The following is a 12,242-nucleotide window of genomic DNA, read 5'->3' as shown; positions in this document are numbered from 1 at the left end:
TCTGTAATACCAGCACATTGGGAGGATGAGCGGGTGCATCAGGAGGTCAGGAGTTCAAGACCGGCCAGGCCAGCATGGTGAAACACTGTCTCTACTAAAAAAAATACAAAACATTAGCCGGGCATGGTGGTGCATGTGTGTAATCCCAACAGCTCAGAAGCGTGAGGTATGAGATTGCTTGACCTGGGATGTGGAGGTTACAGTGAGCTGAGATTACACCACTGCACTGCACTTGAGCCTGGGTGACAGAGCAATATTCCATCTTAAAAAAAACAGAAACAAAAAAAAAACTGTACCTCTAATAGAAATGTGGTTTCACCAAGTTGGCCAAGCTGGACTCGAACTCCTGACCTCAGGTGATTCACCCACCTCAGCCTTCCAAATTGCTGGGATTACAGGCGTGAGCCACCGCACCCAGCCTGGTAGTATTATTTATAATAGTAAAGATGTGCATCGACAGATAAATATGTGAGGAAAATGTGGTATACACATACAATGGAATATTATTCAGCCTTAAAAACAACTCGGATGGGCCAGGGGCTGTGGCTCATGCCTGTAATCCCAGCACTTTGGGAATCCAAGGCAGCTGAATCACATCAGGCCAGGCTATCAAAACCAGCCTGGCCAACATGGTGAAACTGCCATCTGTAATAGAACCACCAAAAATTACCCGGGTGTGGTGACACATGCCTGTAATCCCAGCCACTCAAGAGGCTGAGGCAGGAGAATCACTTGAACCCAAAAGGTGGAGGTTGTGGTGAGCCAAGATCATGCCACTGCACTCAAGCCTGGGCAACAGAGCAAGACTATGAGAAAAAAACAACAACAACATAGAAATGAACAAGTTGAAAGGCACTGTGTCTTAAGGAAATGACAGTAGAACTAAACTATGGAAACCTCATTCAACCTCACAAGCTCCCTCAATAAGATTGATGAAAACCATATCTCTTACAGGGTTGATCCTACAACAAACTGAACATAGGTTTTCTTGTTAAAAATGAACAGTGACACATATTGGTGTGAAAAATGTGACATGAACAAGAGTTCAGTCAAGAGCCTCATACATATGAGGCTGTGAGCCCGAATGATGTCCTCGCTGGGAGGAATTGCAACACCACTGACTGCTGCTTAGAGAAGATGATCATTAGTTTATGGGATGAACGTTGTCACAGTGCCAGTGAGAGACGCTTCTGTGATGCTCCTCAAAAACCAGAATGAGCTGGGCATGGTGGCTCACGCCTGTAATCCCAGCATTTTGGGAGGGTGAGGTGGGCGGATAACCTGAGGTCTGGAGTTAGAGACGAGCCTGACCAACATGGAGAAACCCTGTGTCCACTAAAAATACAAAATTAGCTGGGCATGGTGGCGCATGCCTGTAATCCCAGCTACTCAGGAGGCTCAGGCAGGAGAATCACTTGAACCTGGAAGGCGGAGGTTATGGTGAACCGATATACCATTGCTCTCCAGCCTGGGAAACAAGAGCAAAACTCCATGTCAAAAAAAAAAAAAAAAAAAACCAGCATGGATGGGGCAAAATCACAAAAGAGAATACAAAACCAGGAAGAGCCAAGATAGACAGGAGCAGACTCCTCATGTCTGCAGGGACATTTTCCTCACCCACAGCCTCCAGGTTCCTGTAGTTCTCCAACATCACTTCCCTGTACAAAGCCCTCTGTGCAGGGTTCAGGAATTTCCACTCTGCCAATGAGAATTCTATAGCCACATCCCTGAAAGTCAAGCGTCCCTAAAATGAAACATACATTTCAACAAAACATTATGGAGGATTGAGTTATCACCTTCACAGGAAATGAGAAAAGGGAAAATAAGTATTTATTTGATCAAAGACTGTGTTCTGACAAAAGGATGTTAAGGTATTTTTGACTATTTTTTCCGTATAGTTGCATTTTATTGTACTTTTCCTTGAAAGATTTTAAGATCCCATAAGTCACTATGGAAGTCTCGATTTTATGGACAATATAAAAACTATATAAATAAAAAGGAAACACAGGGCCGGGTGAGGTGGTTCATGCCTGTAATCCCAACACTTCAGGAGGCCAAGTTGGGCAGATTATTTGAGGTCAAGAGTTTGAGACCAGCCTGGTCAACGTGGTGAAAACCTGTCTCTACTAAAAATATAAAAATTAGACGGACATGGTGGCAGGCACCTGTAATCCCAGCTACACAGGAGGCTGAGGCAGGAGAATCACTTGAACCCAGGAGATGGAGGCTGCAGTGAGCCAAGATCGCACCACTGCCCTCCATCCTGGGCAACAGACTGACACTCCATCTAAAAAAAAAAAAAAAAAAAAAAAGCAATTCCAGGCAATGGCTCTCGCCTGTAATCCTAGCATTTTGGGAGACCAAGGCAGGTAGACAATGTGGTCAAGATATCAAGACCTTCCTGGCCAACATGGCGAAACCACATCTCTACTGAAAATACAAAAATTAGCTAGGTGTTGTGGCGCAGGCCTGTACTCCCAGCTACTCAAGAGGCTGAGGCAGGAGAATTGCTTGAATCCAGGAGGCGGAGGTTGCAGTGAGCCGAGATCGCACCACTTCACTTTAGCTTGGCAACAGAGCAAGATTCCATCTCAAAAAAAAAAAAAAAAAAAAGCAAACACAGGGTTTTCTCTACAGACATGTCAGCTATTATGTTCAACATACAAGGCGATATTTAGTCTCTAGATGAACTAAGATACAAGCGGTGTTTCAGAGAGGACAGAGTCCATTGGCTTTGAAAGAAAAGTCCAAATCTAAAAACTATCATGATCGGTCAGGCACAGTGGCTCATGCCTGTAATCCCAGCACTTTGGGAGGCCAAGGCAGGTGGATCATGAGGTCAGGAGTTTGAGACCCGCCTGGGAACACGCTGAAACCCCTTCTCTAGTAAAAACACAAAAATTAGCTGGGTGTGGTGGTGGGTGCCTGTAATCCCTGATACTTGGGAGGCTGAGGCTGGAGAATTGCTTGAAATCAGGAGGCAGAGGTTGCAATGACCCAATATCATGCCACTGCACTTCAGCCTGGGTGACAAAGCAATACTCTGTCTCCAAAAAAAAAAAAAAAACTGTTATGATGACAGCAATAGCCATGACTAACATTTTTGAATGCTTCCCATGTGCTATACACTGTTCTAAGTGCTTCCCATGTCTTAAGCCATAAAATAACATACTGTCCCATGAAGAAAGATCTGTACTTGGACACAAGTGCATCACACATACTAGGAAAATTACCACAAATCAAATAGCTAAAAATGTCAACACAAGCACTGAATCCAGATGTCTGGGATTCACATTTGAATATAAACGCTGAAGTAACAGATACAGCTTTAAACTAAACTGACACGGGTTTATCTAGTGCAGAGAATGTGACAAAGGTCCCAGGGTAAGAACACGGAGCATCCTACAAGGTCGCTGAATGGACACACACAGGCATACATATAATCCTTCCCAATACTTCTTATTTTTTTTTTTTTCCAGATGGAGTCTCACTCTATTGCACAGGCTGGAATACAGTGGCACAATCTCTCAGCTCACTGCAACCTGTGCCACCCAGGTTCAAGCAATTCTCTTGCTTCAGCCTCCCCAGTAGCTAGGATTTGAGGCACCTGCCACCACATCCATCTAATTTTTGTATATTTAGCAGCGACAGGGTTTCACCATCTTAGCCAGGATGGTCTTGAACTCCTGATGTCATGAGCTACCCACCTCAGCCTTCCATAGTGGTGGGATTACAGGTGTGAGCAACCGGGCCCGGCCCCATCTTACCATTAACTCATTATTGTGATAGTTGACAACAATGAAAAATACTTAAAATCATTACAATTATTATAAAAAATAAAACTTATTGCAAATGTTGTGTTTTCTACATAAACCATGGGCTTATCCACCCATGTATTCATGCACACACATCACATCATGGCGTTACCCACGTGGTGGCCCACCTCTAATCCAAGCTACTGGAGAGGCTGAGGCAACAGAATCACTGTAATCTGGGAGTCAGAGGCTACAGTGAAACAAAATCACCCCACTGCACTCCTGCCTGGACAACAGAGACTCAACTCAAAACAAATTTAAAAATAAAATAAAATCAATGATGTAATAAAGCATCCTGTACCACTGATGCCTATCTCCACTTTCCATTGCATTGACAGTCATTAAAAGTGCAGACTTTAGCCAAGTGCAGTGGCTCAGGCCTGTAAATCCCAGAACTTTGGGAGGCCGAGGTGAACAAATCACAAGGTCAGTAGTTCGACCAGCCTGACCAATACGGTGAAACCCCATCTCTACTAAAAATACAAAATAATTAGCCAGGCGTGACAGCGAATGCCTGTAATCCCAGATACTCAGGAGGCTGAGGCAAAAGAATTGCTTGAAGCCAGAAGGCAGAGGTTGTAGTGAGCTGAGATGCCGCCACTACAATCCAACATGGGCAACAGAGCGACACTCCATCTCAAAAATGTGCAGAGTCCAGCCAAGCTGGCTGTCTCCCATTTGGAATGCCAGCAATTTGGGAGACCAAGAGGGGAGGATCACTTGAGGCCAGGATATCAAGGCTAAAGCAAGCTTTGATTGCACCACTGCACTCCAGCCTAGACAACAAAATAAAAATACAATATAAAAAATAAGGCCTGACATGGTGGTGTGCACCTTTAACCTCAGCACTTAGGGAGTCCGAGATAGGCAGATCATGAGGTCAGGAGTTCCAGATCAGCATAACGAACATGATGAAACCCCGTCTCAACTAAAAATACAAAAATTAGCTGGGTGTGGTGGTGCATGCCTGTAGTCCCAGCAACTTGGTAGGCTGAGGCAGAAGAATTGCTTGAAACTGGGAGGGGGAGGTTGCAGAGAGCCGAGATCGTACCACTGCGCTCCAGCTTTGCTGACTGAGACTCCATCTTAAAATAAATAAATACATACATAATATACACACATACATATGGTGACCCATGCCTATCATTCAGGCTCTTTGGGAGGCTACAGTAGCGATTAGTTGAGCTCAGGAGTTTGAGGCTGCTGTAAACTCTGAATTGTGCCATTGTACTCCAGAACTAAGCCACAGAGCGACACCTTCTCTCTCTCTCTTTTTTCTTTTGAGACAGAGTCTCGCTCCATCTCCCAGGCTGGAGTGCAGTGGCACAATTTCGGCATACAGTAACCTCCACCTCCTGGACTCAAGTGATTCTCCTACCTCAGCCTCCTGAGTAGCTGAGATTACAGGCATGCACCACCACATGCAGCTAATTTTTGTATTTTTAGTAGAGATGGGGTTTCACCATGTTAGCCAGGCTGGTCTCTAAGTCCTGACCTCAAGTGATCTTCCTGCCTTGGCCTCCCAAAATGCTGGGATTACAGGTGTAAGCCACTGCACTGGGACCAACATCTTGTCTCTTAAAAAAAAAAAAAAAATTTGGACACAGAGACATCTTGATCTACTAGTGTGGCTTCAAATGCATTACCAAATCAGATACAAAATATCTCCTCTTATTCGTCTCCTTTCCCAGAATTTACCACACATCTGCGCACATTAACATACGTATTTCATATGTAGTTTCTCTGAGCTGACATCCAGATGTGGCCCCTGAACAATCCAGGCTGCCCAGCAGCTCTGACATCAACGGGCCCACACCCCATGTTTATCCACGTCTGGGTGTGAGCCCTTCCCAAGACCATGCCCAGTGGAGCCTCTTCCCAAGTTCATGTCACTGGGTCACAGGAGATGGAATCTCAGAGCACCTGAGAGGAACTGAGGGCAGGCATGGGTGAGTGCAAGTGAACGTGTCAGGCAAAATGCTTCAGACTCAGAAAAGACTGGCTGCTACAATACATTACTACAATACAATATAATACTACTACATTTCAGAAAGGAAAGAGACAGATTAATCCACAGAGGAATATCACTTCACCTGAGGAAGAGCCATGCCTGACTCCTTTCCTTTCCTCTTCTGAGCTGCTTCCTCACGTAACATGAGTCTTTAGAAATCAATCCTGTATGTGAAAAAAAATAAGACTTCATGTTAGAAATGACTCACTCCCTTCCTGTGACAAAACCACATGAACCGGGAGATGTCACCCTGTAGAAAGAAGTCCCCCACTGCCCACTGCACCAGAGATCATGCAGAGGTAAGAAAGTCCCACAGGAAGACCTACAAGTGTATGTTTGACCCCGGTCTTCAGATCTCACTCCCTTCATGGAGAAGCCGCCACACACGAGGCAGCAGGGGGGACCTGGGCTGCACTGATGCCCCCTTTATGGCACAGACTCATCCCTGATCAAAGCCTCCACCCCCCCCCCAAAAAAAAGATCTGGGCACCTACTTGGGAAGCTGAGGCAGGAGAATCACTTGAACCCAGGAGGCAGAGGTTGCAGTGAGTCGAGATCGTGCCACTGCACTCCAGCCTGGGCGACAAAATGAGACTTCATCTCAAAAAAAAAAAGGAAACTCAAAAGATTGTAACTACTTGTGCCTCATTTCTCTGTGACCTAAAAGCCGCCTCCCTGCTTCAAGTCTTCCTGCCTTTGTTTAAAGTTGTCCCGCCTTCCCAGACCAAACCAATGTACTTCTTACATATATTGATTGATGTCTCATGTCTCCATAAAATGTATAAAATTAAGCTCTGCCCCGACCACCTTGGGCAAACTAAACTCTCTAAATAACTGAGATCTCTGTAAGATTTTCTGGTTTCACAGCTGCAGTGTCAAATGGGGGCTGTGGGAGATCACAAAGGAAACCCGGAGAAGATGATATCAGAACAAGGACCTAGGAAAGAAAGGCTGCTTGTCACTTGCAGCTGAGGGGAAGAGCATCCTAGAGAGAGGGACAGCTCAAGTGAGGGCCCTGAGACAGGAGCAACCTCAGCCCCAGGAAAAGGAAAGCGACCCGTGGGGCTGGAGCAGTGGAAGAGAGGAGGGCACAGGTAGGAGATGAGGTCAGAGAGGTCCTGGGGGCACAGACCCATAGGGACATGGTTTTCAAACATTTTTCTCCCACAACCCAAAAGCATTTTGAAAGTCGACTGTGATCCCAGCTACTCGGGTGTCTGACGCAGGAGAATCCCTTGATCCCAGGAGTCAGAAGTTGCAGTGAACTGAGATCGTGGCATTGCACTCCAGCCTGGGCCACAAGAGTGAAAATTCGTCTCAAAAAAAAAAAAATTGGAAGTGATGTATCTTCTCACTCTTTTCACGTATACATCTAAGTTTCTCTTTATATTATAAATTACAACACTTACAAATAAAGTGATTTATTTCACAAATATAAAATACATGCTGTCAAGTTTGGCTAAGTTTCCAGAAGTACACAGTCACTCTCATCTGAGATGTGCAGACTGCAAGGAAATGTGTTTGGGGGTTTAGAAAGCCACTCGTGGACACCTGAAGGTGGGGATGCCTGTTTGATGACCCAGGAGACAGCTGAGACAACTGGACACAGGATTGTAGAGCTCAGGGGCGACGCCTGCAGGGGACATGGAGTCGTGTAAGTGGGTTAAAGCTGTGAGATGATAAGGTTCAAGGTGATTTGAGTCTAATCCCCTGATTTTAATCATCTTGTGCTTTTTTTTTTTTAATATTTGGAGAACTGGAATCCCTTTAAAATTCGAGTTAAAACTGAGCACTACCTCTCCCAGAAGAAAAGTCACACACTGTATTTTGTCAGTCATTTCAGGGGTCAGTGTCACTCTGACTGAGCTTTTCCGGTCTTATTCCTCACCTCTATGTTACAGGTGGGCTCACTGAGGCTCACAGTGGGAGACATTTCACCAAGTTATTCTGAGATGCTCTGAGGTGAGGAGGAAGGACATGTGGCTGATTCCCATGTGATTGCCTGAAAGGGCCAATAGGCTGCCTTGGTCTTCCTCCTCTAGAAAATTTCCAGACCAGTCAGGAGCGGTGACTCACCCTTGTAATACCTAACTAGATATCTACATGGAAAAGAATAATATTGGATCTCTATGTCACACCATGAAAAATTTTATTTAAAAACGGTTTAAAAAAAAAAAAAAGGCCAGGCGGGGTGGATCACATCTGTAATCCTAGCAGTTTGGGAGGCTGAGGCGGGCAGATCACAAAGTCAGGAGTTCAAGATCATCCTGGCCAATATGGTGACATCCCGTCTCTACTAAAAATACACAAATTAGCCAGGCGTGGTGGCGGGGGCCTGTAGTCCCTGCTACTCAGGAGGCTGAGGCAAAAGAATTGCTTGAACCCAGGAGGTAGAGGTTGCAGTGAGCTGAGATCATGCCACTGCACTCCAGCCTGGGTGACAGAGCGAGACTCCATCTCAAAGAAAAACAAACAAACAAACAAAAATTCCAGGACCATCTTATATACCTGAGCAAACGAAACTTCTTTCAAGTTGTAAGGTTCTGATGGCATCAATCCCAAACATATCATTACTCACTCCCAGAAAAATGTTCAAAATACACACAACTGTGCACACATAGCAATAGATGTTTAAAACACTGAAAAAGAGGCAGCTGTAGAAATGAGATCTGAGCAAATGCTTTTCTCAAGAACACATGGGCTCTGCTAAACCAAGGTTCCAAGTCAATCCAGCCCATCCTTCAACATCTGTAGAGAATATTATGGACCAGAGGGAATTGAGGGGACACTTACTTAGAAGCTCACAGATTACCATTTTTTCAGATGACATAAGAAAAAAAAATGGAATAGGCTACTTCAACTGAATTTTCATGTTAGGGTAAAGAAAAAAGGTCCTTGATATCATTATCAAGTACACACTGAAACAACCTAACAACATATATCACATAGTAGAAAATGTTTTCGATATATGATAAAGACTAGAAAGCACACAGACCTCAATGTAAACTCAAAAAAATTTCATAGAGAAACAATTTTAAAATGGTTAAAAAATACAGATCTAATGAAATCTTGGGCCAAAGGAGAAATATTTGAAAATATATCATACTTTGAAAACAATGAGGACAGGCATAGTGACTCACGCCTATAATCCCAGCACTTTGGGAGGCCGGGGCAGGAAGACCACAATGTTAGGGGTTCGAGACCAGCCTGGCCAATATGGAGAAACTATGTCTCTACTAAAAATACAAACATTAGCAGGGCATAGTGGTGCACACCTGTAACTCCAGCTACTCAGGAGGCTGAGGCAGGAAAATCGCTTGACCCCAGGAGGCGGAGTTTGCAGTGAGACGAGGTCGTGCCACTAGACTCCAGAGTGGGTGACAGAGAGTCTCAATAAATAAATACATATATCTAAACATTAGCCGGACCTGGTGGGGTGTGTCTGTGGCCCCAGCTACTCCGGAGGCTGAGGTGGGAAAATCACTTGAGCCCAGGAGGTTGCCGCTGCACAGTGCTGTGATCCTGCCACTGCACTCCAGCCTGGGAAACAGTAAAAGTGTCTCAAAACAATAACAAAGGCCGGGCGCAGCGGCTCATACCTGTAATCCCAGCACCTTGGGAGGCTGAGGTGGGAGGATCACCTGAGGTCAGGAGTTCAAGACCAGCCTGACCAAGATGGAGAAACCCCATCTCCACTGAAAATACAAAATTAGCCGGCCATGGTGGTGTGTGCCTGTAATCATAACTACTCAGGAGGCTGAGGCAGGAGAATCACTTGAACCCCAGAGGCAAAGGTTGCAGTGAGCAAGATCGCACCATTGCACTTCACCCTGGGCAACAAGACCAAAACTCCGTCAAAAAAAAAAAAAAAAAAAAAAAAACCACCACAACAAAAATAAGTAAATTAAAACTAAAATTAAAAAATAAAAAACAATTACTGAGGCCAAGTGTGGTGGCTCACGCCTGTAATCATAGCACTTTGGGAGGCCAAGGCGGTGGATCACAAGGTCATGAGTGCAAGACAAGTCCCGCCTAGATGGTGAAAACTGTCTCTACTAAAAATACAAAAATCAGACAGGTGTGGCTGCAGGTGCCTATAATCCCAGCTGCTTGGGAGGCTGAGGCAGAGAATTCCTTGAACCCAGGAGGCAGAGGTTGCAGTGAGTCAAGACTGCTCCACTCCACTCCAGCCTGCGTGACACAGAGAGACTCCATCTCAAAAATTAAAAAAAAAAAAAAAAAAAATGAAATGAAGAGGAACTAGAAAAAAGGAAACCAATTACAAAAAGAGAACAAAAGCACTTTTAATACTCCTTTCATCACGTTCCATATAGTAACAGAGTCAGTCACTTCTTACCCTACTTCTCTCCCCCACTCCCGACCCCAGCCATGAAAAGGGAAGAGGGTGATCCACAACGAATGAGTCAAGTCACTGTCCTCTGGCTGAAGAGGGGTTGCAGAGGGAAGCTGCCTCTGACGCCATCATTATAAAATGAACCACACTTAGACACAGGAGTTTGGCAACTCTCATTCTCATCTGTATAATTTAAACTAATTTTAAATTTGTTACCTTATAAACAGAGAAAACAACATGTCATCACTTCATCATCACATCCAATCAACTCACCACTCATCTGCACCCAGGGTCCCTCTTCGTCTTCATTACTGCTTCCCTCCATCATTCTATGCATAGCCCTTTCTCACTTTCTCTCTCCATCTGTTTCTTTTCTGCATTTCCCCCTGGGCTTCTGCTCATTTTATGCCCCTCTCCTGTTTTGCTCCATTCTTTTTTGGTTTTTTTGAGACAGAGTTTCGCTCTTATTGCCCACGCTGAAGTACAATGGTGCGATCTCAGCTCACCACAACCTCTGCCTCCTGGGTTCAAGTGATTCTCCTGCCTCGGCCTCCTAATCCAAAATTAGCAGGGCATGGTGGCGCATGCCTGTAATCCCAGATACTCAGGGGGTAGTATCGCAGGAGAATCGCTTCAACTCTAAAGGCACAGAGAGTCATTAGCCAAGATTGTGCCATTGCACTCCAGCCTGGGCAACAGGAGTGAAACTCCACCTCAAAAAACTAATAATAATAATAATAATAATTAGTATGTAGGCCGGGCGCGGTGGCTCATCCCTGTAATCCCAGTACTTTGCAAGGCCAAGACGGGGGAACCTTTGAGCCCAGGATTTTGAGACCACCCCGGGAAACATACTGAAACCCTGTTTCTACAAAAAAACAAACAAAGAAAAAAAAAACTACTAGCTGGGCTTGGTGTCTCACACCAGTGGTCTCAGCTACTCAGGAGACTGAGGGAGGATCGCTTGAGCCTAAGAGGTCGAGGCTGCAGTTAGAGTAGATAACGCCATTGTACTCCAGCTGAGCGACAGAGCCAGACCCTATCTCAAAATATTAATTAATTAATTAAAAGTATTATGTAATAACAGCGATTTTTTTTTCCCACCACTTCCTACCCCACCATGGGAAAAGGGAAGAGTGACCCACAATTGAATGTCACTGCCCTCGGTCTGAATAGGGATTCCAAGTGGAAGCTAACCTCTGATACCAATATTTATAGAACATACATGGCTCACAGATAGGACATTTAAAATTCTCAAACTCATCTGTATAATTTAAACAAGTTATTAGATTTTATAGACAGAAGTCAACATGTCACAACTAATCATATCCAATGAACTCACACACTCATCTGTACCCAAAGTCCCCCACCCTTTTTTTTTTTTTTTTGAGACAGGGTCTTGCTCTTTTGACCAGGCTGGAGTACAGTGGCATGATCTCTGCTCACAGCAGCCTGGAGCTCCTGGGCTCAAGTGATCCTCCAGCCTCCGCCTACAGAGTAGCTGAAATTACAGCTGCACACTATCATGCCCCGTTAATTTTTTCTTTCTTTTTGAAAGAGATGGGGTGTCTATTTTGCCTAGGCTGGTCTTGAACTCCTGGACTCAAGCAATCCCTCTGCCTCAGTCTCCTAAAGTGCTGGGATTACAGGCATGAGCCACTGCACCTGGCCCCTCTTTCTTCATTACTGTGCTTCCCTCTCTAATTCTGTACATATCTCTCATTCTCCCCTTCTCTCTCTAGCTCTTGTTTTCTTTTCTTTTTCCCTGGGATTGTGCTCCTCATTTTGTACCCCTCTACTCTCCTGCTATTTATCCCCTTCTTCCCTCTATTACTCCTCTTCCACCTCTTCTGCTCCATCCTCACAACTTATTTAACCGCTTTTTTTTTGAGAAAGAGTTTCACTCTTGTTGCCCAGGCTGGAGTGCAATGGTGCGATCTCGGCTCACCGCAACCTCCGCCTCCCAAGTTCAAGCGATTCTCTGGCCTCAGCCTCCCTAATAGCTGACATTACAGGCATATGCAACCGCGCCCAGCTAGTTTTGTATTTTTAGCAGGGATGG

The 12,242-nt window shown here is 44.9% G+C and overlaps 1 protein-coding gene across 9 annotated transcripts in view; it reads right to left on the bottom strand.

The window, feature by feature from the left end:
* ZNF808 (zinc finger protein 808) overlaps window positions 1-12,242 on the bottom strand; it is a 41,086-nt gene that overhangs the window by 19,498 nt on the left and 9,346 nt on the right. For 6 of the 9 annotated variants that reach the window (XR_002958314.2, NM_001321424.2, NM_001039886.4 and 3 more), the window contains 2 exons: window positions 5,909-5,990; window positions 1,618-1,744 (listed from right to left, as the gene is read on the bottom strand). Coding sequence is in view for 6 of the 9 variants with exons in the window: in NM_001321424.2 (NP_001308353.1) it covers window positions 1,618-1,744; window positions 5,909-5,971 (190 nt within the window). In the remaining 3 variants the exon portion in view is untranslated. Of the gene's footprint in view, window positions 1-1,617; window positions 1,745-5,908; window positions 5,991-6,320; window positions 6,340-12,242 lie in introns of those variants that run through there. The other 3 variants (XM_005258909.5, NM_001363550.2, XM_024451507.2) reach the window with 2 other exon arrangements.

The sequence above is a fragment of the Homo sapiens genome, chromosome 19 (genome assembly GCF_000001405.40).
Source record: "Homo sapiens chromosome 19, GRCh38.p14 Primary Assembly".
Classification (NCBI taxonomy): domain Eukaryota; kingdom Metazoa; phylum Chordata; class Mammalia; order Primates; family Hominidae; genus Homo; species Homo sapiens.
This window is presented reverse-complemented; position numbering and strand designations above follow the sequence as displayed.